The sequence below is a fragment of the Homo sapiens genome, chromosome 7 (genome assembly GCF_000001405.40).
Source record: "Homo sapiens chromosome 7, GRCh38.p14 Primary Assembly".
NCBI classification, from domain to species: Eukaryota; Metazoa; Chordata; class Mammalia; order Primates; family Hominidae; genus Homo; species Homo sapiens.
This window is the reverse complement of record NC_000007.14, coordinates 152,415,934-152,443,777: the sequence shown is the minus strand read 5'-3', so window position 1 is coordinate 152,443,777 and position 27,844 is coordinate 152,415,934. Positions and strand designations below refer to the sequence as shown.

General features: G+C 44.2%; 1 protein-coding gene and 1 pseudogene across 2 annotated transcripts in view, besides 9 other annotated features; one reads left to right on the top strand and one right to left on the bottom strand.

Annotated features, from left to right (window-relative positions):
* Positions 1–761: 761 nt before the first annotated feature.
* On the bottom strand, positions 762–6,883 carry FABP5P3 (fatty acid binding protein 5 pseudogene 3; annotated as a pseudogene). Its single transcript, NR_002935.1, has 2 exons — positions 6,750–6,883; positions 762–1,483 (listed from the first exon to the last, which is right to left on the bottom strand). The product of NR_002935.1 is annotated as a fatty acid binding protein 5 pseudogene 3 (transcript).
* Positions 2,459–2,659: a silencer, noted in NCBI's record as "fragment chr7:152138204-152138404 (GRCh37/hg19 assembly coordinates)". NCBI's record gives its function as "represses an EF-1alpha promoter that drives an FKBP-Casp9 reporter gene in an ReSE screen in HepG2 liver carcinoma cells {active_cell/tissue: HepG2}" and the evidence as "EXISTENCE:reporter gene assay evidence [ECO:0000049][PMID:32094911]".
* Positions 6,759–7,098: a silencer, noted in NCBI's record as "silent region_18833". NCBI's record gives its function as "represses an Ori minimal core promoter by ATAC-STARR-seq in GM12878 lymphoblastoid cells {active_cell/tissue: GM12878}" and the evidence as "EXISTENCE:reporter gene assay evidence [ECO:0000049][PMID:35858748]".
* Positions 7,139–7,428: a silencer, noted in NCBI's record as "silent region_18832". NCBI's record gives its function as "represses an Ori minimal core promoter by ATAC-STARR-seq in GM12878 lymphoblastoid cells {active_cell/tissue: GM12878}" and the evidence as "EXISTENCE:reporter gene assay evidence [ECO:0000049][PMID:35858748]".
* Positions 7,519–7,568: a silencer, noted in NCBI's record as "silent region_18831". NCBI's record gives its function as "represses an Ori minimal core promoter by ATAC-STARR-seq in GM12878 lymphoblastoid cells {active_cell/tissue: GM12878}" and the evidence as "EXISTENCE:reporter gene assay evidence [ECO:0000049][PMID:35858748]".
* The window catches only part of KMT2C (lysine methyltransferase 2C), a 301,079-nt gene continuing 281,009 nt past the window's right edge, over positions 7,775–27,844 (top strand). Inside the window, exon 1 of the mRNA NM_170606.3 lies at positions 7,775–8,152. Within this exon, the coding sequence (NP_733751.2) occupies positions 7,992–8,152 (161 nt within the window). The 5' untranslated portion in view covers positions 7,775–7,991. The remainder of the gene's footprint in view (positions 8,153–27,844) is intronic.
* Positions 7,949–8,008: a silencer, noted in NCBI's record as "silent region_18830". NCBI's record gives its function as "represses an Ori minimal core promoter by ATAC-STARR-seq in GM12878 lymphoblastoid cells {active_cell/tissue: GM12878}" and the evidence as "EXISTENCE:reporter gene assay evidence [ECO:0000049][PMID:35858748]".
* Positions 8,489–8,718: an enhancer, noted in NCBI's record as "active region_26881". NCBI's record gives its function as "activates an Ori minimal core promoter by ATAC-STARR-seq in GM12878 lymphoblastoid cells {active_cell/tissue: GM12878}" and the evidence as "EXISTENCE:reporter gene assay evidence [ECO:0000049][PMID:35858748]".
* Positions 8,759–8,808: an enhancer, noted in NCBI's record as "active region_26880". NCBI's record gives its function as "activates an Ori minimal core promoter by ATAC-STARR-seq in GM12878 lymphoblastoid cells {active_cell/tissue: GM12878}" and the evidence as "EXISTENCE:reporter gene assay evidence [ECO:0000049][PMID:35858748]".
* Positions 9,279–9,348: an enhancer, noted in NCBI's record as "active region_26879". NCBI's record gives its function as "activates an Ori minimal core promoter by ATAC-STARR-seq in GM12878 lymphoblastoid cells {active_cell/tissue: GM12878}" and the evidence as "EXISTENCE:reporter gene assay evidence [ECO:0000049][PMID:35858748]".
* Positions 9,659–9,708: an enhancer, noted in NCBI's record as "active region_26878". NCBI's record gives its function as "activates an Ori minimal core promoter by ATAC-STARR-seq in GM12878 lymphoblastoid cells {active_cell/tissue: GM12878}" and the evidence as "EXISTENCE:reporter gene assay evidence [ECO:0000049][PMID:35858748]".

Below are 27,844 nucleotides of genomic sequence, written 5' to 3'. Positions count from 1 at the left end.
GCCATGATTGCACCACTGCATTCTAGCCGGGGCAACAGAGTGAGACTTGTCTCAAAAAAAAAAGGGGAAAGGTCATTTGGAATCCTAGTTCAGAGATAACCGTTGTTTACAACTTGATGAACATTACTACTTTGCACATATTGTATGCATACATAATTATAGATTTACACCATGTTACATAAGATTATGATACATATATGCTATTCTGTAATCATTTCCTTCTCAACATTATCTTGGCTCAGAGAAATGTTTCTTTTTTTGTTTGGACATGGAGTTTCGGAGTTTCGCTCTTGTCACCCAGGCTGGAGTACAATGGGGCGATCTTGGCTCACCCTCGGCTCACCGCAGCCTCTGCCTCAAGCAATTCTCTTGCTTCAGCCTCCTGAGTAGCTGGGACGGAGTAGCCATGTGCCACCATGCCCGGCTAATTTTGTATTTTTAGTAGAGACAGGGTTTCTCCATGTTAGTCGGGCTGGTCTCAAACTCCCGACCTCAGGGGATCCACCCGCCTCGGCCTCCCAAAAGTGCTGGGATTACAGGTGTGTGCCACTGTGCCTGGTCTGTGAGCCATCGTGCCCGGCCTGAGAAATGTTTCTTTTTCTTTTTTTTTTTTTTTTTTTTAGCAGAAACTCATTTATTTATTAACCAAAGGGATGATCCTAATGAATCCAACACACTTTGAAATAGCTGCATGTAAAATGTTTGTGATAAAGATAATTGAACACAGTAATGAAAAAAAAAAGAAAGAAACAGTATGGAGATTTGTTCATTGAACTGAGCTTGGTCATTCTCTTGGTTAACTCCTGTCCAAAGTGATGATGGAATCTTTATTGTGCTTTTTCATAGATCCGAGTACAGGCGACATGGTTCATGACACGCTCCACCACTAATTTCCCATCTTTCAGTTTTCTTGTTATTGTGCTTTCCTTCCCATCCCACTCCTGATGCTGAACCAATGCACCATCTGTAAAGTTGCAAACAGTCTGAGTTCTTCTGCCATCAGCTGTGTTTTCTTCAAACTTCTCTCCCAGGGTACCAGAAAACTGTGTTGTTTTCAAAGTGCTCTCAGTTTTTATGGTGAGGTTTTTGCTATCACAAGTGATGATACAATCTGGCTTGGCCATTGCGCCCATTTTTCACAAAGCTATTCCCACTCCTAGCTCCTTCATGTATTCATCAAAGCCTTTGTTGTCCACCAGGCGCCATCTTCCTTCTAGCTGCTGAACTGTGGCCATGGTGGGTGCAGGGGGGCTGGCGTGCAGAGTGGGGTCTGCGTCGGCATGGCAGCGTGCTGTCGAGAAATGTTTCTAAGTAGATCTTATTTGGTCTGAGAACCATGAATGATTATTTTGAGCAGTTTTGATTCTGGAGACTCCATTTGGTTCAGGCATGGTCCTCCAAATTCAGGCTTCTGAAAGCCTGTACCTCAGAGTAGGCTTGATGTTCCATAAAAGATGTGGTTATGAGTGCAAAGATGACTTGCCTGTATTGTTATACAAATGTAAAATGTAACAATCAACAAAAATGTAGCAAAGTATGCATGTATACATTTTCTCTAAAGATACAGTTTCTTTTTTTAAAAAAATAAACACATTAGGCAGGTGTGATGGTGGGTGCCTGTTATCCCAGCTACTCGGGAGGCTAAGGCACGAGAATCTCTTGAACCTGGGAGGTGGACATTGCAGTGAGCCGAGATTGCACCACTATACTCCAGCCTGGGCAACAGAGCGAGACTCAGTCTAAAAAAAAAAATAAATAAATAATATAAATAAATAAATAAATAAATAAAATAAACACGACTGGCCAGTGGCGGTGGCTTAAGCCTATAATCCCAGCACTTTGGGAGGCCTCAGCCAGGTGGAGTTCAGGCATTCAAGACTAGCTTGGGCAATATGACAAGACCCCTGTCTCTACTAAAAATACAAAACAATAGCCGGCCGTGGTGATGTGTGCCTGTAGTCAGCTACTTGGAAGGCTGAGGTGGGAGGATTGCTTGAGCCCTGAAGGTGGAAGTTGCAGTGAGCTGAGATTGTGCCATTGCACTCCAGCCTGGGTGACAGAGTGAGACCCTGTCTCAAAAAATAAAATAAAATAAAATAAACACTCCTATAAAGGATCCTCTTAGCTCTTTTTCTAACACCTAACCTATATTTTCATATTCATTTCAGTTACCCTACAACTGTTCACTGAGCTGCTGTTGAATAGGGGAAATAAGGCAGATAACTACTGCCATCTCCGCTGGGTTTAGGGACAATATAGACATTAATCTGGGCACTTTCATTACAGGCAATGAGAGCTGTGAGTGGGGAAAGCACAAGGTTGGCAGAAGCATTTAGGGGGACACAGCCATTCTCACGGAGGGCAGAGGTCTAAAGCAAGAGCCGAAGAAAAAGTAGGAACTGGCCTCGTGGAAAGGGGAAGGGCGATGGGACAGCCTGGTGGTTTGTAGCCCACTGGAAGGAGTTCTGAAAACTGGTGGTCAGGTGAGAAGGAAAGCTGGGGAAGAGATGAGCACGTTCGCCAGAGGGTAGCAGGGGCTCTCCAGGACCTAGTGAGTCAAGCCAAGGAATTTAGGCTTCAGCCTGCAGGGTGATGAATAGGGCTGTCTATTCCATTTCTTCCTTCTTTCTTTCTTTCTTTTCTTTCTTTTTTTGAGACAGCATCTCACTCTGTCGCCCAGGCTGGAGTGCAGTGGCACGATCCTGGCTCACTGCAACCTCCGCCTCCCTGATTCAAGCAATTCTCCTGCTTCAGCCTCCAGAATAGCTGGGATTACGGGTGCCTGCCACCACGCCTGGCTAATTTTGTATTTTTAGTAGAGGCGAGGTTTCACCATGTTGGTCAGGCTGGTCTCGAACTCCTGACCTCAAGTGATCTGCCTACCCTGGCCTCCCAAAGTGCTGGGATTACAGATGTAAACCACCATGCCTGGCCTGAAAATTTCTAGTTTATGATACTTGCCAGCAGAATGTGTTCTGTCACCCTCTTCTGAATAGATATGGTTGTCTGCTATGACTTCTCCCACTGCTGCCCTTCCCCCTGAATCCACAGATGCATTTCTTTTAAAACTATGATCTTGTACACAATGGACGTAAATATTTAATCTTTCTATTTGTATGTTTTTCCATGTTTCTTTTCTTTCTCTTTTTTTTTGGGGGGGGGTGGTGTCTGCCTCTATTGCCCAGGCTGGAGTGCACTGGAACAATCTCAGCTCACTGCACCCTCCGCCTCCTAGGTTCAAGGGATTCTGCTGCCTGAGCCTCCTGAGTAGCTGGGACTACAGGTGTGCACCACCACGCCTAGCTAGTTTTTATATTTTTAACAGAGACAGGGTTTCACCATATTGGCCAGGCTGGTCTCGAACTCCTGACCTCGTGATCCTCCCACCGCGGCCTCCCAAAGTGCTGAGATTACAGGCGTGAGCCACCATGCCCGGCCTCCATGTTTATTTTCTAGTTGCTTACTTGTCCTTTTGTGTTTATCCTTGTTAACTACTACTGCCAGGCTTAAAGTATAGACCCCTAGAGGGCAAGATTAGTATCTATATAAAATGTACTGCAAAACATCTACTTAAGCCTCACATTCTTAAACACAAATTACTTTTGAAGATGACTGTTCTGCTTGTTTCCTTCCTGGTTTCTTCCTTTAACTTTTCCACCAAACAGGCACATGATATACTTTACTGAAATAACTTATATAGCAATATGAATTTTTTTTTTTTTGAGGCAGAGTTTCGCTCTTGTTGCCCAGGCTAGAGTGCAATGGCGCGATCTCGGCTCACTGCAACCTCCGCCTCCTGGGTTCAAACAATTCTCCTGTCTCAGCCTCCAGAATAGCGGGGATTACAGGCGCACGTCACCATGCCAGGCTAATTTTTGTATTTTTAGTAGAGATGGGGATTCACCATGTTGGCCAGGCTGGTCTCGAACTCCTGACCTCAAGTGATCTGCCTGCCTTGGCCTCCCAAAGTGCTGGGACTACAGGCATGAGCCACCGTGCCCGGCAAATTTGAGGTGGAGGTTGCTGTGAGCCGAGATCGCATCACTGCACTCTAGCCTAGGTGACAGAGCAAGACTGTCTCCCACTTCGGCCTCCCAAGTAGCTGGGACTACAAGCATGTGCCACCAGGCCTGGTTAATTTTTTTTTCTTTTTTTTTTTTTTGAGACGGAGTCTCACTCCGTCACCCAGGCTGGAGTGCAGTGGCGCGATCTCAGCTCACTGCAAGCTCCGTCTCCCGGGTACACGCCATTCTCCTGCCTCAGCCTCCCGAGTAGCTGGGACTACAGGTGCCTGCCAGCACGCCCGGCTAATTTTTTGCTTTTTTAGTAGAGACAGGGTTTCACCTTGTTAGCCAGAATGGTCTCGATCTCCTGACCTCATGATCCGCCTGCCTTGGCCTCCCAAAGTGCTGGGATTACAGGTGTGAGCCACCGCGCCCAGCCAGGCCTGGTTAATTTTCTTTGGTATTTTTTTGTAGAGACGGAGGTCTCACTATGTTGCCCAGGCTGGTCTCGAACTCCTGAGCTCAAGTGATCCACCCGCCTTGGCCTTCCAAAGTGCTAGGATTACAGGCATGAGCCACAGTGCCCAGCCTACAGTGCAACTTTAATAATAACAATATGAACACAAAAATTCTAAGATCTAAAATTTAAGCTTTCAGTGGTCCTTCTATAACAGTGAAAGTTTGGTTCCTAAAAAGCCCTGAGGAATTTATGGGAAAACAAGAGAGACAACATTTAGTAGTGAACCTGTGCATTCTAAATAAAGACAATCACATGTTATAGGCCTTCAATTAGTAAGAATGAATATTGGACTATGAATTTTTATTCACTGTCACTTGTTTGCTAGATGCTTTGAGAATCTTCCTTGCCTATATTTTTCTGAGATGTTGGTTTTTCTTTGTCAAAGATAACAATGCTCATTCCCTCCCCATTAAAAACTACATATATATATATATATATATGATTAGATGATTACTACATGTGCTTTGAAATATTCAAATATTTTAGACAGTAAAAGTCCCTTGTAATTCACCCCTTTGCAGATGATTGGTTAACAGGTTAGTACACATCTACCTAAATTTAAAATCCCATATTTAACATGTATACTTATTAGAAAGTACACATTCTAATATTTTTCTGTTGTATTTGGTACTGTTTCCAGATGCTCCTGCCTTTTTGCTTTCATAATTTTGAAGGACCTCAGCTCCCTGCCTCCTAGATTTTTGCTACTGTGGTCTCAGAGCTGTGTAATTTGGATGACTGAGACGGAAAAACCTCTGGAAAACCTTTATTTATGTTGAATAAGTATTCCTTGAATCCTTCCTCAGCATCCTGGGTTATATTTGATTTGCTCTGTTCATGATAACTTCATGCCAAGGAGACTGCTATCAGCTCTCTTAAAACAGATCCCAACTCCCTGCTCATAGTGGCCAAAGGAATGGAGATTTCAGGCTGAGTTTACTTACCTGCATCATCATCTATCCAGAAGCATCCCTGCACAAACCTCTGTTTCTACCCTTCCATTCACTCGGCTCACTTTTCTGCTCTTAGTACCCTTTGTTTCTTGTGAACTCTCCAGCAGGAGTGACTTGCAATTTGTATCCACTGACACTTAAGTTCTCAGAAGTGCTGGAGAAGCGTATGGAAGTAAATTATCCTGATGTATAATTTTGTACATGTGAAACTCACCGTGGAAGTGCCTATTCTAATTTCAGTACGGAACACAGCTAAATATTTGGATCAATAATCCAGTTTTGAAAGCACACTTTATTTAAAGTACAATGTGCTGAAGAAAATGAAAAAAGAAAGGGTGCTTTCAAATTTGTACTGAGTAAACTTTCACTAGATCACATCATATGTTTATCACTAGTCACATATATGTTGTATTTCTATGTGTAATCGTCAGGCACTTTTAATTTCTAGTTTGCATTTACCATGCCAGCCTCCTCCTCAATCCCAAATTTCCTTTGGTTATAAATTTAGTAAATTTGAAAGAGCCAGCAGGGATTAAACCCTGAAGGTATTCAAATGACTATCTGACGTTATTCCTCATTTCAGCCATTTCAAAAAATTATGCTTTCATTTAGAATAGGCTCTGGGAATCAAAGTGTGTGTATTTTGCCCAAGTAGAAGACACAGTTTAAAGTTAACATCCTAGCTACTAGAAGGGAAAGCAAACATCGCTGGAAAAGGAGCCTATTTTTTTTTACCTTACACTAAAACTACACTGCGAAGATCAAAAGAAATCAACATGAGAGTGTGCCTCTTAACGCTAGGCCCAAAGTAGATGCTTATTAAATGATAGTTTACCCCAATCCTTCACAAATGGTTGATAGGTCTTACTATTTCCCCCCATTCAAATCTAGAATTTTTTCACTCTCATAAACTAATCGATAGTGAATGGAAAGCACAGAATAGATCATCGTCCAAGTGTTAGGTATTAGCCTGAGAAATCCAGAATCCCATATTTGTAACTGTCCTTCTTGAGAAAGTGCATTTTTCAGGCGGATTCTAGCCCCATTTTTCTTTTTACCATTTTTACATATTATGAGAGGTGGCTTAGAAGTACTTCGATTTTTGCCTCTTCATCACAACACACTGAACGTTAAAATCAAGTGGTTGGGTTTTTATTGGCTTATTTTGTCTCTAACCGTTTTATTTCTCGAGCTGTCATCGTTCTTTTCGTCTTACATCCTTATGAACCTTTTCTGGATTAAAAAAAATGACGTTATAATAAGGAAACTAACTGGCGTTGGATTCGAACGAAGTTGACTCCATTCCTTTTCCTCCCCGTAGTGTGGGCGCTACGAGGAAAGACCTCGGCGAGAACCAGCGAAGCCCGGGCTGCCCTCGCCGTGCGGGCGCACATTTGCTCCTCGCGCCGGGCTGCGCCGGGCGACCGCGGCCGCCTCGGCGTGTGTCCGCGGCTCCCTCCCGCCCTCGCCCGCAGTTCCCCGATCCCGATCCCGGATCTCTGGGTCCACAGCTTGGCTACCTCCCGAGCCGGAGCCGGAGCCGGAGCCGGAGTCGCGGCTGGGCCCGGCCGCCGCGTCACAGGGGGAGGGAACCCGGGGGGGAGGGGGAGGGGCGGTGAGGTCAGCGGCGGCGGCGCGTCCGCGGGCGGCGGGAGCGGCGCATGCGCGGAGCGAGGCCCGTGAGTGGCAGCGGCGGCGCGCGGGGGGCGGGCGAGGGGCCGAGTGTGGGGGAGCGGGCGGGGGCCGTCGAGGCGGCGGTGTGTGGGCGCGACGGCTGCGAGTTGGAGAGGTCTGTGGTGCGGGTCGCCCCGGGGGATCCCCGGCGCGGGCCTCGCGCGACGGCCACGGTCGCGCGGCGTGTGTGTGGGGTCCAAGCACACCCGCAAAACTTCCTCCTCCCCTGCTCCGGGAGAGCGAGCGAGCGTGTGTGAGAGAGCGAGTGTGAGGAGCGAGCCGCGGCCCGGCGCCCAGCGCCGCCACTGGAGCAGCTGTCAAAACTTCGCCGCCGCCGCCGCCCGGGCCTGACGGGCCTGACGCGCGGGGGAGGGGCGGCCGGCCGGGGGCGCGACCCCCTCGCCGCCCCCGCCGGGCCCCGCGGCCGGCCCTCCCCGCGCCGGGCCCCTTTCTCCTCCTGCCGCGGGCGGCTCGGGGGAGGGGCCGCGGGCGGAGACCCCGGGGGCCGGCGCCCCTCACGCCGCCCGCCCGCCCGGCTGCCCCGCCCGCCCGCACCCGCCGGCCCCGCCCGCCCCGCACCGCCCGCCCCGCCCGCCGCCCCCCGCCCGGCCCCTGCGCGCGGAGGTGCGCGCGCCCGCGCCGATGTGTGTGAGTGCGTGTCCTGCTCGCTCCATGTTGCCGCCTCTCCCGGTACCTGCTGCTGCTCCCGGGGCTGCGGGAAATGCGAGAGGCTGAGCCGGGGAGGAGGAACCCGAGCAGCAGCGGCGGCGGCGGCGGCCGCGGCGGCGGGAGCCCCCCAGGAGGAGGACCGGGATCCATGTGTCTTTCCTGGTGACTAGGATGTCGTCGGAGGAGGACAAGAGCGTGGAGCAGCCGCAGCCGCCGCCACCACCCCCCGAGGAGCCTGGAGCCCCGGCCCCGAGCCCCGCAGCCGCAGACAAAAGACCTCGGGGCCGGCCTCGCAAAGATGGCGCTTCCCCTTTCCAGAGAGCCAGAAAGAAGTAAGTTGAGTGCGAGGGAGCCAGGCCGGGAGCCAGCGGCGGCGCCGGGCCGGAGCTGTCACCGGGCGCCCGCCCCGCGGCCTCCGCGCCCCGGCGCCCCCCGGCGGGGTGGGGGCGGGGCGGGCCCGCGGGCGGTGGCGGCTCCCGGCCCCGGCCCCGCGCCCCTCGGTAGCCGCCCGCGCCCGGCCTCCCCCGCTCCGCGCCGCCCGCCCGGGCTCCCGCCGGCGCCCGGCTCCGCACACTTTACTTTTCAGTCGGGCCTTTTCACTGGGTCTTCTCCGCGACTCTTCTTTTGGAGAAATTTCTCGTAGCCGCGTCTTGGCCTAGCTGGATCATTGAGAAAACAAGCCCGGAGCGCGCCCAGGTAGTCCCCGGACGGACTCCGGGCGAACCGCCGAGCCGTCGGCGCTCGGGAAACTCTCGGAGCTGTCAAAACGCCCGGGCCAGGTGGTCTCGGGGCGCGGGCTGGGGGCGAGAAGAAAGCGGCCGGGCGAGTGCAGCTTTTGTTTGTCAGCGACTTGCTCCTGGAACTTTTCCTGGTCCCAAACCTGTGTTTTCTTCTTTTGATGATATATTAGGAAGCCATTTGACTTCTTCCTCCCCCCTCCCCCAACACCCAGCACCGCACTCCCGGGCTCCGAAAGCACAAGTCCTGTGGGATCCCCCAGCTTCGGGGAACGGCCTGCCTAAGTTTTGGAGACGTAGCCAGCGTCCCCTCGTAAGGCAGAATACCAAGAGCACTTATTCGGAGAGAGTGCAGATGTAAATGTCGCTTCCCTCGTAAGTCTTAGCTGTAAGGGGCTTGGGAATAGGGTCGCCTGCCTTTGAGCGTACAGTAGGGCTGGACCCCAGCTTATTAGAGGACCAGAAATGTCTTCTTACAGAACGGTTATTTGACGGCTTTGCTTGTAAATTAAGACACCGTTTTAGTGCCAGCGAACTGCTCGGCTTCTGTGGCTCTCGCGTGTGCCGTGGAAGAACTGTGAATGTCTCTCGAAGTTGTAGAATGGCGTGTGTGCTTACTCATTTCGTGAGATGATATTCTCATTGAACTGTCGGGAGTGGAAGGGTGCGCTGGGACGTGAAGGAAGCCAGCACGTTTATGGATAGGCTGTTTCTTTGGTTCGGGTGCATTCACTTAGTAATAGTATTGTTGTTTGGTGATTTGTAGTAAAAATAGTAGCGTGAACTGAGGCATAGCAGAGCTGGGTTGTGGGAACCCATTGAGCTCTTGACTTGAATGTGCTCTTTTCTTGCCCCGCTGTCCTTTTACTATGAAAATGATTCAGGGCCTTCAACTTGCCTCCATATTTTATTGCCAGCTGTTACCTAGCTATGATAATCGTGAGGGAAGCAAGTACAGGATGTGTGTACATTATTACATTAGCTTGTTCGTGATACAAAGTTAGGACTTATTTATTATGCCACTTGCGTTGTAATACAGTGGCAAGTATAAAATGCCCTTATTCTGTATTAACTGAAATTTGTAGAAGGAAGTGGAGGTTTAAGTAATTTTTAGACATGTAAGCCACTTTTTTTTGCATCCTTTAAAGCAACTCAGGACAAGCCATATTGGGGTTTTACCTTGATTGCCTCCCATTTCACTATTTGCAAAGCATTTCTTCATCTCTTACTGAACATTAATTTGCAAGTATTGTTTTAAATTTGCATTTGAATTCTTACTCCAGAAAGATTAGATCTATGTTGTCACACCCCACACCCCATACTCCTGTAAGGGCGTGCTTGTGCACGCGCACACGCGCACACTCACACGCACGCGCACACTCGCACACACCCTACTTTTGAAATGAGCTCATTTGTATTAGTGCAGCTCCTGAGTGCACTGGACGATTAGGGTATTGCCACTTTATTATTTTAATTCTGAATCTCATGAAGAAATAGGCAGCCTTTGGAGAAGATAAAAAATTTCTGCTGAATAACAGTATAATCTAACTATGAAAAATCAAAACTTTTGGAAATATTTAGAACAAATGTAAGTCTGTAGAGAGCTTTTTCTTTTAGATTTGAAAACTAGTACTGCTTTCTTTATAGGAAATTAAAGTCTACTGGTAAATTTGACGGGTCTAAACTTTTTAGAGCGTTTTTTTTGAAATTGTGTCTTTTGAAGGGAATGGAATCTCCAGTTGTTTTTAGCAACATGTAAATGGAAACTAACATATGAATTGGAAAGCAAAGAGGTTTTTGAATTGTGTATCTCTATACTGTATAAGAATCCATGCAGAAAAGACCCTGTAGTTGGACAGTAAAGACCCTGAAAGTGAAACTTATGTGTAACCAGTGTAAATTAGGTTTGTAACCAGTGAAATTATGTGAAATTGCAAATAATTCACCTGAGAAATGAAAATTAATCTTCTTTGCTAAATCTCATAGAGATATTTTAAGTTGCTAATGTTACTTAGATGTTCATTAACTTAGTGAGTTACATTAAGTAGAGAAGATGCCTTTTTTTTTTTTTTCTGGACGAAGTCTTGCTCTGTAGCCCAGGCTGTAGTGCAGTGGTATGATCTCGGCTCACCGCAACCTCTGCCTCGTGTATTCAAGCGATTCTCCTTCCTCAGCCTCCAGAGTAGCTGGGATTACAGGTGTGCGCCATCGCACCTAGCTAATTTTTTGTATTTTTAGTAGACACAGGGTTTCACCATGTTGGCCAGGCTGGTCTTGAACCCCCGACCTCAGGTAATCCACTCTCCTCAGCCTCCCAAAGTGCCAGGATTACAGGCGTGAGCCACCGCACCCCGCTGAGAAGATGCCTTTTGACAATGAAGTGGATTTATGTATTTATCTTTGGCTTAAAAAAACATGCACCACCAATTACACTTTCCTCAAGTTTAAATTTTTAATAATTAGGTAAATAAAGCATTTTCTTGTCTTATAGTGTTAGCTAGATTGTTTTTGTGTATTTTGTCATGAATAAAAAGCATAGCTATATAGTTACTGCTTTTACATTAACTATAAATATCTTAAAATTTTACTACCTAAAATCAAGAAACTTGAACTGAAGCTATTAATCTTAGAGTTGGAAAAGTAAATACATAGAGGTTTCCTATTGTACAAATGTCAAGTGGCACAGTGAAATTTACATTCATTTGAAAGTTTTCCTTAACTGTAAAAAGTATCAAATTATTTGATAATTTGGAGTAGTTCATCATCTTTATCAGAGGCACAGGTCTTAACCATTGGCAGGCCTCTGTCAGAATATGCACATATTAAAGATCTCATTATTTTTGTGTTAATGTTAAAAAATTTTTCTGAAGCTTTTTTCTTATTTTTTCCATCCTTACACTGTAAATTCACATTACCAAGTTGGGAAGCCAAAGAAACATTCTACTCTACTATGTTTCTTACCAGTTCATGAAAGTTGATGTTAGAAATGGGTGTGGGTGTGGGGGATGGGGGTGGTTGTACAGAAGCAGCAGGTGGTAGGTATAGGATTTCTGAAGCACTATCCTTGGCCTTTTTTGAGTAAACTCTTTATACCCTGAACCACTTTCTTTTCAGAGGGCAATTGCTATTATTAGAGAGCCACCTTAAGCATTATTGTTGTAGAAAAATTAGGCACAACCAGTGATTGTCATTACAAGGACCAGCAAAAATGGCTAGGTTGCTACTCTGTATTTGTAACGCCCTTCCCCCAACAAAATTTCTCCTTTTCATAGCTGTGAATTTGAAATAAGTGATAGAAAACTGTACTGCATTACAATATATACCATTTAATAAAACAAGTTTATAGTTGAGAGACAGCACTATTATTCATGCTTTTTGAGATAATGCAAATTTGTAATTTTTATGACAGCAATTCTTAATAATTTATTGTCCAAGAGATCTGATAAAATTTTTGATATTATTGGTCTCTGGGACTCAATAGGCACTGAAATGTTTTAATTCAGTTGAAAAGTTGACTCAGGATTGCTACCCTCTCTTACCTGTTAGGAGGTTGTTGTTTAACCTGACCTGAAATTCCCATGAATAAGAACCTGTTTTTTTTCTTTTTTTTTTTTTTTGACAGAGTCTTGCTCTGCCGCCCAGGCTGGAGTGCAGTGGTGCGATCTTGGCTCGCTGCAACTTCCGCCTCCCAGGTTCAAGTGATTCTCCTGTCTCAGCCTCCCAAGTAGCTGGAGTAGCTGGGACTGCAGGCACGTACTACCATGCCTGACTAATTTTTGTATTTTTAGTAGAGACGGGGTTTCACCCTGTTAGCCAGGATGGTCTCAATCTCTTGACCTCATGATCTGCCTGCCTGGGCCTCCCAAAGTGCTGGGATTACAGACATGAAACACCGCACCTGGCCCAGGGAATTTCTAATATTTGAGAAGATGTTATTTTTAGTCTATTATACAAATTTATATATTGTTTACTAATATATAAATTTACATATTAGTTACTAATATGTAAACTTACCAATTTACATATTGGTTACTAATATGTAAACTTGATAAACATGGATTTCCATGGAAATATAAAAGTATCACAACAATTTGTTTTCCCATTCTGACACTTGTGATTTATTACATTTTCGTACTATTTCAGTTAATTCCATAATGCCAGAATTGTTGTTAATCTGCCAAGTGACAAGCCACACTGCTTCATCTCATTCCTCTGTTCCGCAAAACTGCAAAGTTTCCCAGACCACAGTCAGGTTTCTCTGGGTAGATAGTGGTTGTCCAACTCTGTAAACTTAAGTCACTTTAAGTTTATGATGGAGGGGCTTCGTGAAACTTCATTGACCTTCCAAGGTGAAAATTGGTCAGTTTCCAGTTATAAAGGACATTAAGGATGGGTGTGGTGGCTGATATATGTAATCCCAGCACTTTTGGGAGACTGAGTCAGGAGGATCACTTAATCCTCATTTAAAAGGAGTTTGAGACCAGCCTGGGCAACAAAGTGAGGCCTTGTCTCTACAAAAAAATTAGCTGGGTGTGGTGGTAGGCACCTGTAGTCCCAACTACTCTGGAGACTGAGCTGAGAGAAGATTGTGTGAGGCTTGGAGGTTGAGGCTGCAGTGAACGGACATCACACCACTACACTCTAGTCAGGTGACAGAGCAAGACTCTCTAAATAAATAGGAACATTAGATGGTCTCTCTGCACTCTTGCCTGGTGGGGACGTGTTAGATACCCTCGTTAGGTTGTGATTTAGTTTTTAATCTGTGAGATGTTTGGGCCAAACAACTTTTAGCTGCCATGGAATAAACTTTACAGTCAGCGTGTGAGTTTGTGTTTGCCTTTACTTTTTTTTTTCTATATTGTTTTGGTCCATTTTTATCTTTTAATTTCAGAAAGCTGATTAATCTCTTCCTTTTCTCTTTAAAAATTTTCTTTATCATGTTTGTGCTACAGTGGTTATTTTGAGAACTTGTTGGCAGGATAAGTGGCAAAAGTTACGAAGTAGAATAGAGATGATTTCTGTTTTTTTTTTTTTTTCTTTTTTTTGAGACAGTCTCACTCTCTTGCCTAGGCTGGAGTGCAGTGGCGTGATCCTGGCTCACTGTGGCTGCCGCCCTCCGGATTCAAGCGATTCGCCTGACTCAGCCTCCCAAAAAGCTGGGATTACAGGCGCATGCCACCACACCCAGCTAATTTTTGTGTTTTTAGTAGAGATGGGTGTTCACCATGTTGGCCAGGCTGGTCTCAGACTCCTGACCTCAGGTGATCTGCCTGCCTCGGCACTCCCAAAGTGCTGGGATTACAGACGTGAGCCACCACGCCCGGCTGAGATTATTTCTTTTTTTATTATAGCTATTGCTTGTAGATATATGCTGGTGGTTATCTGTGAAAATGTAATAGAAAGGCTGGGCACGGTGGCTCACACCTGTAATCCCAGCACTTTGGGAGGCTGAGGTGGGCGGATCACAAGGTCAGGAGTGGGAGACCAGCCTGGCCAATATGGTGAAACCCCGTCTCTACCAAAAATACAAAAATTAGCTGGGCGTGGTGGCAGGCACCTATAGTCCCAGTGACTCGGGAGGCTGAGGCAGGAGAATCGCTTGAACCCAGGAGGCAGAGGTTGCAGTGAGCTGAGATCATGCTATTGCACACCAGCCTGGGCGACAGAGTGAGACTCTGTCTCAAAAAGAAAAAAAAAAAAGTAATAGACCAATCTTGGATTTATAATTGGAAGTGTTGATCCCTTTATTTGCAGAATTTGAAGGACTTAAGAGCACAAGTTGAGAGAAACAAATGACACAGCTCTTTTTGCACTTTGTAATATTCTAGAAAAAGCCTCAGGTAAAAGGAAAATTGTTTCACTTTGTTTCTGCTGTTAATTTTGTGATGGCAGTAACTACATATGATCTACAAGTGTAAAATTGTTTAACAAGTCTTAAGTTTTCTATACTTCTATGTAACTTTTTAGATCTTTCATTTGGTACATGTTATTTAAAGAGCTACAAAGTGCTAAATATGTCCTGGGATGAACAGTCAACCCTGGAAGATTTATTGTGGCCTAGAGGGGTGCTCAAAGATTTGGAGGAAGTAGTATTTGAATTAGACCTTGAAGGATTGGTGGGATTTAGCCAAGTAGAATGACAAGAAAATGAGTGTGTGAGGGAGCAATGTGAATGAAATTATTGAGGGAAGGAGGTGTAAAAGGTGGGGTGGCTTCTGACTGTGTGACTAGAACAGAGGCTGTGTGTAGTGGTGAGGCCAAGCTGTGATAGTTCTTGAATGCCAGACTCATGAGTTTGGGCTTTATCCTGTAGTCCAGGAGTTATAAACTGTTTACAGGGAGCAGGTAAGCAATTTAAATGAACAGTAGGCTGCTTCTAAGAATCTGAATGACAACTGACACTTTAGACCTTGGGTTGGGGAGAAAATGGGAAATAATAACAGCCTTGGGGAAGTCTAGGAGTCCTTATGCCCTGCTTAAGGTGAAACTGATACAGAATTCTGGCTGATGGTTGCTATTTGAGATGCTGTTTCTAGATTTTTCAAGAGGGCGGAAATTTGGATTTTTATGATTTTTTTTTTTCTTTTTTGAGATGGAGTTTTACTCTTGTTGCCCAGGCTAGAGTGCAATGGTGTGATCTCGGCTCACTGCAACCTCTGCCTCCCGGGTACAAGTGATTCTCCTTCCTTAGCCTCCTGAGTAGCCAGGATTACAGGCACCCACCACCATGCCCGGCTAGTTTTTTTTTTTTTTTTTTTTTTTGTATTTTTAGTAGAGACGGGGTTTCACCATGTTGGCCAGGCTGGTCTCGAACTCCTGACCTCAGGTGATCCACCTGCCTCAGCCTCCCAAAATGATGGGATTACAGGCATGAGCCACCGCACCCAGCCCTTTTTATGATTTTTAAACTTGGATTTTAAGTGTTTTTCATTAATTAGAATCTAAAACGGTATTTGCGCCTATACTTTGTAGGCTAGGTTTAATCTGCGGACCACCAGGGGACTACAGGTCTCAATCTCTGCTTTATGCCCAGTTATTTTATTTTTTAAATGAAAGTTTTCAAAGCAGGTATTTACAGTATTCTTGAGGATAGGAACCTTACTAAATTACTTTGTATTCTGTTTAGCATTTATGCATTTGAATGTAGGCACTCAAATACTTGGTGATTTAATGATGCCTATTATTAAAAAAACACTGTGGTAATAATATGGAGACAGGAGTTACCTGGAGGCAGAGATAATAGGCTGTTACAATAGTTGTAGTGTGAGAGATCAAGCCAAAGCATAGAATGTTGGTAGTGCGAATGGGGAGGAAGATTCCAGTCACTGCAAAGGAGGAATTCGGCAGTTTCTGGCATAGATGTTGTAGCAGGCATCCAAATAGATTGGATGCCTGCTAAGCATTCGGGGAAGTAGGACTGGAGTTGAGGAATCGATTAGGATAAGTATTTAAAGATGTGACTTAACATGTAATCACTGAGAATATGGCGTATGGGAATTAGTAAAGGATTAGGATGCTTTGTTGCCCTTAGGAGATAGGGGACCAGTTATACCCGGAAAAACAAGAAAGGAAATCAGAATATATTCTCATGACAAATGGACAACATATACATACAAGATGCTCATGGCAGCAGTATTAGTAGTAGAGAAAAGTTGGCAACAACAAAATATGCATCAATGGACTACCATGCAGTTTTAAATCAAGACATAGAGATAGATCTGTGGGCCCTGAAGTGGGAGAATGTCTATGATACATTGTTGAACTAGAGAAAAACCTTTCCAAAAGTTGTAAAGCAGTAAGTTTAGCAGTAACTTTATTTTGTGAAAAGCACATAAACCCAAACTGTGTGTATATTTTGTGCATATAAAAAGATTGGGAAGAATACATAATAAATATTAATACTCTGGGGGCCGGGCGCAGTGGCTAACGCCTGTAATCCCAGCACTTTGGGAGGCCAGGAGGGTGAGTCACGAGGTCAGGAGTTCAAGACCAGCCTGGCCAAGATGGTGAAACCCCGTCTCTACTAAAACTACAAAAATTAGCCAGTCATGGTGGCAGGCGCCTGTAATCCCAGCTACTCGGGAGGCTGAGGCAGGAGAATTGCTTGAACCTGGGTGGCAGAGTTTGCAGTGAGCTGAAATCGTGCCATTGCACTCCAGCCTGGGCGACAGAGTGAGACTCTGTCTCAAAAACAAAACAAAACAAAACAAAAAAAAACTCTGGGGAGTATATTCTTTCAGTATACATTTATGCATTTAAAAAAAGAAAAAAGCTTAATACTTCAGAAATGGTAAATCATTTGACAAATGAGAAAACCAAATTCTGGGGGCATCACTGATTATAGAGCCTAGACCTTCTGGATTCAAGTCTAGGTTGTACTACATATTAGCTGTTTGACCTTGGGCAAGTTACTTAAATTTTTTGTGCTATGGTTGCCTCACCTGTAGAGAGGACGTAATAATACACCTAATTTAGGATTGTTATGAATTTATATATATGTGTAGAATTTAGAACAGTTTCTGGCATAGACTAAGTCCTATTAAGAGGTGCTGTTGTAAGGATTTAACTACTGTTGTTACTGTCATTGCCACTAATCATCAATTATCAATCAGTTGCCTGTTATAAACTATTTAGAGACAGAAGTGATTAGAAACCAAACTCACTCCAAAAATGCCATGATATAAGGCTGGGTATGTTGGCTCACACCTGTAATCCCAGTGCTTTGGGAAGCAAAGGTGGGAGGATTGCTTAAGTCTAGGCGTTAGAGACCAGCCTGGGCAACATAGTGAGATCCCCATCTCTACAAAAAATTAAAAATAGCTGGATGCGGTGGTATGCACTTGTAGCTCCAGTTACTTGGGAGGCTGAGATGGGAGGATTGCTTGAGCCCAGGAGTTGGAGGCTACAGTGAGCTGTGATCATGCCACTGCACTCCAGCCTGGGTGACAGAGCGAGACCCTATCTCCCAAAAAAAAAAAAAAAAAAAAAAACTATGACATAAAATAATGCAGTTGTTATTGGAGGCGGGGATAGTGGGGTGGCAAAGATTTTCTTTGTACGCAGATGTCCCCAATATATAGAAGAAAGATTTTTAAAAAGCTAGGTCAGCAGAAATCTCTATGAAATGTTTTTCATTATGAGCAATACACGAAAAACAGTCAAAGCAATTCCCTAGGAGTTGTATATGTAGTAATATTATTCCAAAGTTTTTTATTGCTCAAACTTTTAAATGTTGTTAGAGTAGATTTTTACATATTATAACTCTACTGGCTAGGGTTTTATTAGTAGGCCTCCCTCAGTGAGACTTGTTTTAGGTGGTTTTAAAATGATTTCTTACATCTTTTATCCTTGGTCACTTTAAATCTTTACACCTTATTGTAATCGATTTACATTAGAAGCAGCATACTTGATGGTCTCAGTGAAGTCTGTGTGGTGGTGTTCTTTTAGTGGAGCCTAGCAAAAAAAGAATTTCCTTGATTTCCTGATCTTTGGGATTCTAGTCATATGGACCACATTTGGAATAAGCACATAGTTGAATATAAAATGACAAAATGAAACATAACCATATTCTTAAAGTTCTCATTGAATTGTTCTACCATAGTTGAAGTGTTTGGTCAGTATGGCCAAGTGTTTGTTTGTTTTTGAGACGGAGTTTCGCTCTTGTCACCCTGGCTGGAGTGCAGTGGCACGATCTCGGCTTACTGCAACCTATGCCTCCCTGGTTCCAGCGATTCTCCTTCCTCAGACCCCGGAGTAGCTGAGAGTACAGGCGCCCCTCCACCACGCCTGGCTAATTTTTCTATTTTTAATGGAGATGGGGTTTCACCATGTTGGCCAGGCTGGTCTCGAACTTCTGACCTCAGGTGATCCACCCACCTTGGCCTTCCAAAGTGCAGGGATTACTGGTGTGAGCCACTGTGCCTGGCCCTAAGTGTTTCTTATATTAGACTTTCATACTTATAGAGTTGTAGAATATTAGAACTATTAATAGATGAGAATTCAAGAAGATTGAGTCTAACCCCTCATTTTATAGATAACTGAGCCCCAGAGAGATTATGGAATACTAGAAGTCATATATTAAGGTGTTACTTTTACAGTAAATAAAGGAGATGGTAGTCTACTGTATTGGTGTAGACCCATAGTAAATCATGCCTATGGGTATTCATGCTATTGTATAGTCATCTCTCTTTGTATCTCGCCTAGCCCTGTGACTCACTTTAACCAGTAGAACATAGCAAAAATGACACTTTGCTATTTTTGGGTACAAGCCTTGAGCATGTCAGGCAGCTTCTACTTTTGTACTCTTGGGAGCTCTGAGTTGCTGCCGTGCAAGAAGCTGTCATACCTTGCTGGAGAGATGATGTGGAGAGGAAGAGATTCCAGGACTATATGGAAAGAGGGAGGCTTAACTATCTCAGTGTCCTAGCTGCCTTCAGCCCTTAGTTGACTTGCCTGTTGAATACAGACACAAAAGTGATTAGTAAGATTAGCGAAGGGGCCGGCGTGGGGGCTTATGACTGTGCAGTCCCAGCACTCTGGGAGGCCAAGGCATGTGGAACACTTGAGCCCAGGAGTTCAAGACCAGCCCGGGCAATATAGCAAGACACTGTCTCTACAAAAAAATACAGAAATTAGCTGAGTGTGGTGGCATGTCTCTGTAGTCCTAGCTACTTAGGAGGCTGAGGTGGGAGGATTGGTCAAGCCCAGGAGGGTGAGGCTGCAGTGAACCATTATCTTGCCATTGCACTCAAGCCTGGGCGACAGAGTGAAACCTTGTTTCTCTCTCTCACACACAAAAAAAAGATTAACAGAGGAACCACCTAGCTAAGCTCAGTCCAGGTTACGAAATCATAAATAAGTAAAATGCTGGTTGTTTTAATCTGTTTTGCTGGAAGCAGATAGTTTTCTGAATTAAGGGACGCTAAGAACAAAGAGTATTTGGAGCTGGGTGTGGTAGTACATGCCTTTAGTCCCAGCTACTTAGGAGGTTGAGGTGGGAGGATCACTTGAGCAGAGGAGTTGGAGGCTGCAGTGAGCTATGATCCTGCAACTGCACCCCACCCAGCCTGGGTGACAGAACAATACCCGGTCTCAGAAAAAAAAAATGCATTTGGGATACGAGTGATAAAAATCATTATTTTCCATCCTCTTTTACTGAAATAGTTAAATGAAGTTTCTCCTTAACCTTACCCTTTATTTTTCTAAAGTATTTTGAAATACAGATTTTTATTATTGAGGACTTTAAATAGTATTTAAAAATGGAATTGTCACAGTGTAGATTGGGCTATAGTTAGGTCATACAGAATAGAAAGATAAAACAATTATGAATATCAACCCTAAAAAGGATATAGTTTATTTATTTATTTATTTTTGTTGACTTGTACAGAGATCTTTATATATTTGAGCATCCTGGACTCTTGACAGAAGAACTGATTTCTATTTCTGGGCCAATTCTTAACAGCCGGGTATATCAGTAAGGACTAGGTTTGTCTTTATGTGATTGAAAACCCCGTAATAATAATGACTTGAACAGGAGTGTTTATTTCTGTTTCACTTCAAAATCTGGAGGGTAGGTACTGAGGCTGGTATTGTCCCTCTACACTGCAAAGTCATCAGGAGTGTCTCCCTTTATCTAACTTCTCAGACATTTCTAGGTTGTGGCCTTTGCCCTAAGATTCCTTGATGGCTACTAAAGTCCCAATTACATTACATGCATGTCCCATGAAGCAAAATACAGAAAGGAGTCCAAGGGCACACAGCCTCCTCCTTTGAAGAAATATTGTATGTTTTCTCTTACATATAATTGGCTAGAACTATCACAGAGTTCACATGGCTACCTGTAGCTGCAAGGGAGGCTGGGAATGTAGTTTGTTTGTTTTCTGAGACAGAGTCTCGCTCTGTCATGCAGGCTGGAGTGCAATGACATGATTTTGGCTCACTGCAACCTCCGCCTCCCGAGTTCAAGCGATTCTCCTGCCTTAGCCTCCCAAGTAGCTGGGATTACAGGCATGCACCACCAAGCCTGGCTAATTTTTGTATTTTTAGTAGAGACAGGGTTTCACCATGTTGGTCAGGTTGGTACGAACTCCTGACCTCTGGTGATCCACCTGCTTTGGCCTCCCAAAGTTTTGGAATTACAGGCGTGAGCCACCGCACCCGGCTGGGAATGTAGTTTTTTTTTCTTTTTTTCTTTTTTTTTTTTTGAGATGAGAGTCTCGCTCTGTTGCCCAGGCTGGAGTGCATTGGTGTGATCTTGGCTCACTGTAAGCTCCGCCTCCCGGGTTCATGCCATTCTCCTGCCTCCACCTCCTGAGTAGCTGGGACTACAGGCCACCATGCCTGGCTAATTTTTTGTATTTTTATTAGAGACGGGGTTTCACCGTGTTAGCCAGGTTGATCTTGATCTCCTGACCTCGTGATCTGCCTGCCTTGGCCTTCCAAAGTGCTGAGATTACAGGCGTGAGCCACTGCGCCTGGTTGGGAATGTAGTTTTTTTAGATGAGTACCTTGCTACTTAGAATAGGTTCAAAGTCTGGTTACTGATGGTGGGAATAAATATTACAGAAATAGCTAGTAAATAGTCTTTACCACTTTGAGCAATTGGTTTATCACCATAGGCCTAATTTTCTCATGTGTGAGAATTATGATACTGAAGTTCTTGCGATGGCAGATAATTTCATGTTGAGGCCCGGTTGATTGGTAGTGACTGCTTTCAACAATGCTTTGTTGAATCCTGAGCCCCCAGGGTTTTCTTTTTTTTTCTTTTTGAGACAGAGTCTTGCTCTGTCGCGTGGCTGGAGTGCAGTGATGCGATCTTGGCTCACTGCAACCTCCGCCTCCTGGGTTCAAGCGATTCTCGTGCCTCAGCCTCCCTAGTAGCTGTGATTACAGGCATCTGCCACCACGCCTGGCTAATTTTTTTTTTTTTTTTTTTTTAGTAGAGACTGGGTTTTGCCGTGTTGGCCAGGCTGGTCTCGAAATACTGACCTCAGGTGATCCACTTGCCTTGTCCTCCCAAAGTGCTGGGATTACAGGTGTGAGCCACTGCGCCCAGCCCTAAGCCTCCAGTTTTTGACCTCAGCATGGTGAGGAAGTAGTAGAAGTATGTATTTTGGGTGAAGAGGAGAGTAAAAGCATGCTCCCATTTATATGCTAACGCTGTGCTTTTTAAAAATGTGGTTACTTCAACTTTTGTAATCTTTTCATTGAAAACATTTGGTTATTCTGCTAACCTTTGACTATTCTCTTTAAAAATGTCCTACATTCATTCCATATTTTAAAGTTTTCTAATAAACCTGAGTTCCCACTTGTTTTTTTTCCTTCCAGCTTTTATTTTAGGTTCAGGGGTTACATGCACAGATTTGTTAACATGGGCACATTGCGTGTCGCTGAGGCTTAGAGCACAAATCATTTTGTCACTCAGATAGTGAGCATAGTACCCAGTAGGTAGTTTTTGGATCCTCAACTTCCTCCCAGCCTCCACCCTCGAGTAAGCCTTGGTGTCTCTTGGTCCCCTCTGTGTCCACATGTACTTAGTGTTTAGCTCCCACTTGGAAGTTAGAACACACAGTATTTGGCTTTCTGTTAATTAATTCGCTTACGAATAATGGCCTCCAACTGCATCCATGCTGTTGCAAAGGATCATTTCATTCTTTTTTTATGGCTGCACAGTATTCTGTCTCGTATATGTACCATGTTTTCTTTATCCAGTCCGCTGTTGATGGGCAGTTAGGTTGATTCCATGTCTTTGCTGTTGTGCAAAGTCCTGTGATGAACATATGTGTATGTGTGTCTTTATGGTAGAACGATTTCTATTAATTTGGGTATATATCCAGTAATGGGATACCTGGATTGAATGGTAGTTCTCAGTTCTTTGAGAAATCCCCAAAGTGCTTTTGACAGTGGCTGAACTAATTAACATTCCCACTAGCAGTGTATAAGCCTTCCCTTTTCTCTACAACCTTGCCAACATGTTTTTTTTGTGTGTGACTTTTTAATCATAGCCATTCTGACTTGTGTGAGATGGTATCTCATTGTGGTTTTGATTTGCATTTCTCTAATGATAAGTGATGTTGAGCATTTTTTCATATGCTTGTTGGCCACATATGTCTTCTTTTGAGAAGTGTCTGTTCATGCCCTTTGCCCATTTTTAAATGGGGTTGTTTTTTGCTTGTTTTTTTTTTATTATAAACTATTTTTTTATTATACTTTAAATTCTAGGGTACATGTGCACAACTTGCAGGTTTGTTACATATGTATACAAGGTGCCATGTTGGTGTGCTGCACCCATTAACTTGTCATTTACATTAAGTATATCTCCTAATGCTAGTTTTTTGCTTGTTGATTTAAGTTCCTTACAGATTCTGTATATTAGGCCTTTTTTTTTTTGAGATGGAGTCTCTTTCTGTTACAGTCTGGAGTGCAGTGGTGCGATCTCAGCTCACTGCAACCTGTGCCTCCCGGGTTCAAGCAATTCTCCTGCCTCAGCTTCCCGAGTAGCTGGGACTACAGGCGTGCACCACCGCACCCAGCTAATTTTTGTATTTTTAGTAGAGATGGGGTTTCACCATGTTGGCCAGAATGGTCTCGATCTCCTGACCTTGTGATCCACCCACCTCGGCCTCCCAAAGTTCTGGGATTACAGGTGTGAGCCACTGAGCCAGGCCAGGCCTTTGTTGAATGCATAGTTTGCAGATATTTTCTCCCGTTCTGTAGGTTGTCTGTTTACTCTGTTGATAATCTCTTTTGCTGTGCAGAAGTTCCCGCTTTGTGCAGAACATTCCAAACACTGGAGATAGGGATGATGCAGATAAATACTAAACTCCTTTAATGTGTATATCAGAATATACAGAATATGTTACGGTGACAAAGGATCCCAATTCTTAGTGGCATCAGTCACAAAGGTTCATTTCTTGCTCATGCTATGTGTTCATCACAGATCGGTGTGGGTGTTAGATTATAGGTGACTTAAAATCTCTTCCTTTCAAAGTACATTTCTGAAGCATGGTTTATTCTTAGTCAGATTTGCTTTTCCTATTTGTTCTCTGTTAATCACCCAAGGAGGATGTTAGGCAAAATCAAATACTGAGAATCTGCTGTGTATTATACAGTGGAGAGACCAAAATAAGGCAAGATCCCTACCTTCAATTTCTGGTAACTCAGTGCAAAGTATAATGCAAATGACACATTTTACAATAGATTTCAGAAAGTGCTGAGGAAGCTTAGAGAAGGAAGAACTTATCTCAGAGGAACTGAAGAAAGAAGACATCTTTGTTGAGTGTTTAAAAATGAAAACAGACTTTACCGAAGAGAAAAAGGGGAGTGAGAAACTAGTACCTGGCTATTATGTGTTAGGCACTACTAGTGCTTACCAGAAGTTACCTTTTTGATAATTACTGATCACATGGGGTTGAATCATTAGTACGTTTTACAAATGAAAGATGAATTTTTATATAGCTTGTAAGTGATTGAGTCAGGATTTGAATCCAGGTGTGTCTGACCCTGACCTTTGCTTTTTAAGAGACTACAGTCCAATATGGGAGGAAATGAGGAAGGGAAAGTAAATTGGGCATTTTGAATATTAACTGTAAACAATAGGGAGCCATTGAAGATGTTAAACAGAGGTATGACATTGTATCTGTGTTAGAAAAATAACCGGCAACAACTGTAAAACTGGAACTAATGATTTTTTGCATGTGATTAAGTATCAAATGAAGTATAATTTCTGATCTCCTTTAATTTGTTTGTAGTATTTTATAATTTTCAATGCACAGGTCTTGTACTTTTTTTGTTAAATTGATTCCTAAGTATTTCATTGTTTTTGATGTTGTTATAAATGTAAATGTTTTCTTTCCCCCACTTTTTTTTTTGGAGACAGAGTCTCGCTCTGTTGCCCAGGCTGGAGCCCAGTGGCATGATCTCGGCTCACTGCAATCTCCGCCTCCCGAGTTCAAGTGATTCTCCTGCCTCAGCCTCCTGAGTAGCTGGGATTACAGGCGTCTGCCACCATGCCCGGCTAATTTTTTGTATTTTTAGTAGAGATGGGCTTCCACCATGTTGGCCAGGCTGGTCTCAAACTCCTGACCTTGTGATCCACCTGCCTTGGCCTCCCAAAATGCTGGGATTACAGACATGAGCCACCATGCCCAGTCTATTTTTTTTCTTTTAAATGAAAAACAAATCTTTTTATGTAGGGACAGTCGTCTCACTATGTCACCCAGGCTGGTCTCAAACTCCTAGGCTCAAGTGATCCTCCCACCTTGGCCTTTCAAAGTGCCGAAATTATAGACATCAGCTACCACACCCAGCCTGACCTATTCTCTTTCAAACTTTTTTCATATACACAGTTTTTTTTTTTTTGTGATACTACTTATGTACATTTAGAGTTTTGTAACCTACTTTCCCTTGTAACATGTAAAAGAAAATTTCCGTATTGTTAATCTTTTATAACATTTTTGAAGGGTGCTTAATTTTCCATTGAGTAAAACTGAGGGCTGAGTGCTGTCGCTCACGACTGTAATCCCAGCCCTTTGGGAGGCTGAGGCAGGCATATCACAAGGTCAGGAGTTCGAGACCAGCCTGGCCAACATAGTGAAACCCCCTCTGTACTAAAAATACAAAAATTAGCCAGGTGTGGTGGCATGCGCCTGTAGTCTTCAGCTGCTCAGGAGGCTGAGGCAGGAGAATCGCTGGAATCCGGGAGGTGGAGGTTGCAGTGAGCCAAGACCACACCATTGCACTCCAGCCTGGGCGACAGAGCGAGACTCTGTCTCAAAACAACAACAAAAAACTGAGTAACCACACTATAATTTATGTAACCATACAGCTGTCTCCCCTTTTCCTCTTCTCACCCTACTGCCTTTTGTTACTATGTGTAATGCTCTGGCTGACCTTTTTGTAGATAAAGCCTTTTTCATATTTTGGTTATTTTTATAGGACAGATTACCATAGGCAGGATAATTAGGTTAAAAAATAAGCATTTGGCCGGGCATGGTGGCTCACGCCTGTAATCCCAGCACTTTGGGAGGCTGAGGTGGGTGGATCATCTGAGGTCAGGAGTTTGACACCAGCCTGGCCAACATGGTGAATCCCCATCTCTACTAAGATACAAAAATTAGCTGGGCGTGGTGGCGCACACCTGTAGTCCCAGCTACTTGGGAAGCTAAGGAAGGAGTATCGAGGCAAAGGTTGCAGTGAGCCGAGATTGTGCCACTTCACTCCAGCCTAGGTGACAGAGTGAGACTCCATCTTTTTTTTTTTTTTTTTTTTTAAAAGAAAGAGGGTGGGCGCGGTGGCTCATGCCTGTAATCCCAGCACTTTGGGAGGCCGAGGTGGGTGGATGACGAGGTGAAGAGATTGAGACCATCCTGGCTAACGTGGTGAAACCCCGTCTCTACTAAAAGATACAAAAAATTAGCTGGGTGTGGTGGCAGGCGCCTCTAGTCCCAGCTACTCAGGAGGTTGAAGCAGGAGGATGGCGTGAACCCAGGAGGCGGAGCTTGCAGTGAGCCGAGATCATGCCACTACACTCCAGCCTGGGCGACAGAGCAAGACTCCGTCTCAACAACAACAACAACAAAAAAGCATTTTTTGATTCTTCATAGATATTCAGAAGCATATAGGCTCTAATGTCTATTTGCTTATTGTCAAATTCTGGTCTTATCACTTTCTAGTTGTTGGACTTTGTATAAGCTGTTCAATCTGTATCTGTTTGTTACCTATAAAATAGGGATGATAATAACATCTTTGTCACAGGATTATTAAAAGATTTAAAGAGGGTATATGTGTTAAGAAAGCCGCTAGAGGCCAGGTGCAGTGGCTCATGCCTGTAATTCTAGCACTTTGGGAGGCCGAGGTGGATGGATCACCTGAGGTCAGGAGTTCGAGACCAGCCTGACCAACATGGTGAAACCCATCTCTAGTAAAAATACAAAAATTAGCCAGACATGGTGGTGGGCACCTGTAATCCCAGCTACTTGGGAGGCTGTGGCAGGAGAGTCGCTTGAACCTGGGAGGAAGTGGTTGCAGTGAGCTGTGCCTATTACTTAGTAAGTTCTTAGTAAATACGAACTTTTTAAAATTTTTTCCTTCTTATATTTGATGCCTTAGCAAGCAATAAATATAAACTCTTTTTTTGAGATAAATATAAACTCTTTTTTTTTTTTTTTTTTTTGAGATGATGTCTCACTGTGTCACCCAGGCTAGAGTGCAGTGGTGCCATCTCGGCTCTCCACAACCTCTGCCTCCCAGGTTCAAGGGATTCTCATGTGTCAGCGCCCTGAATAGCTGGGATTACAGGCGTGTGCCACCATGCCTGGCTAATTTTTTGATTTTAGTAGAGACAAGGTTTACCATGTTGGCCAGGCTAGTCTTGAACTCCTGTCTCAAGTGACCTGCCTGCTTTAGCCTCCCAAAGTCCTGGGATTACAGGTGTGAGCCACCGTGCCCGGCTTGATCTCTTATTTTTTTAAATTACATTGAATTTTTTTTTTTTTTTTGATACAGAGTCTTGTTCTGTCACCCAGGCTGGAGTGCAGTGGCATGATCTCCGCTTACTGCAACCTCCGCCTCCTGAGATCAAGCGGTTCTCCTGTCTTAGCCTCCCAAGTAGCTGGGATTACAGGCGCGCTACCATGCCTGGCTAATTTTTTGTTGTTGTTGTTTGTTTTTTTTTGAGATGAGTCTTGCTCTGTCGCCCAGGCTGGAGTGTAATGGCGTGATCTCGGCTCACTGCAAACTCCGCCTCCTGGGTTCACGCCATTCTCCTGCCTCAGCCTCCCTCCCGAGTAGCTGGGACTACAGGTGCCTGCCACCATGCCCGGCTAATTTTTTGTAGTTTTAATAGAGATGGGGTTTCACCGTGTTAGCTAGGATGGTCTCGATCTCCTAACCTCGTGATCTGCCCGCCTCGGCCTCCCAAAGTGCTGGGATTACAGGTGTGAGCCATCGCGCCTGGCCTACGCCTGACTAATTTTTGTATTTTTAGTAGAATACTAAAAATACAGGGTTTCGCCATGTTGGCCAGGCTGGTCTTGAACTCCTGACCTCAAGTGATCTCCCCTGCCTTGGCCTCCCAGAATGCTTGGATTACAGGCATAAGCCACCATGCCCAGCCCTGATCTCTTATTTTTATTAAAGTTTTGAAATGCCACTCCCTAAAAAGGTTGCATCAATTTGTAATGTCATTAGCAATGTGTGATAGGTCTAGTTTTATCAAACCTTTGTCATGTATGATATATTAAAATCTTTATCTTAACAACAGAAAAAAAGTAGTTCTAAGCTTTTACT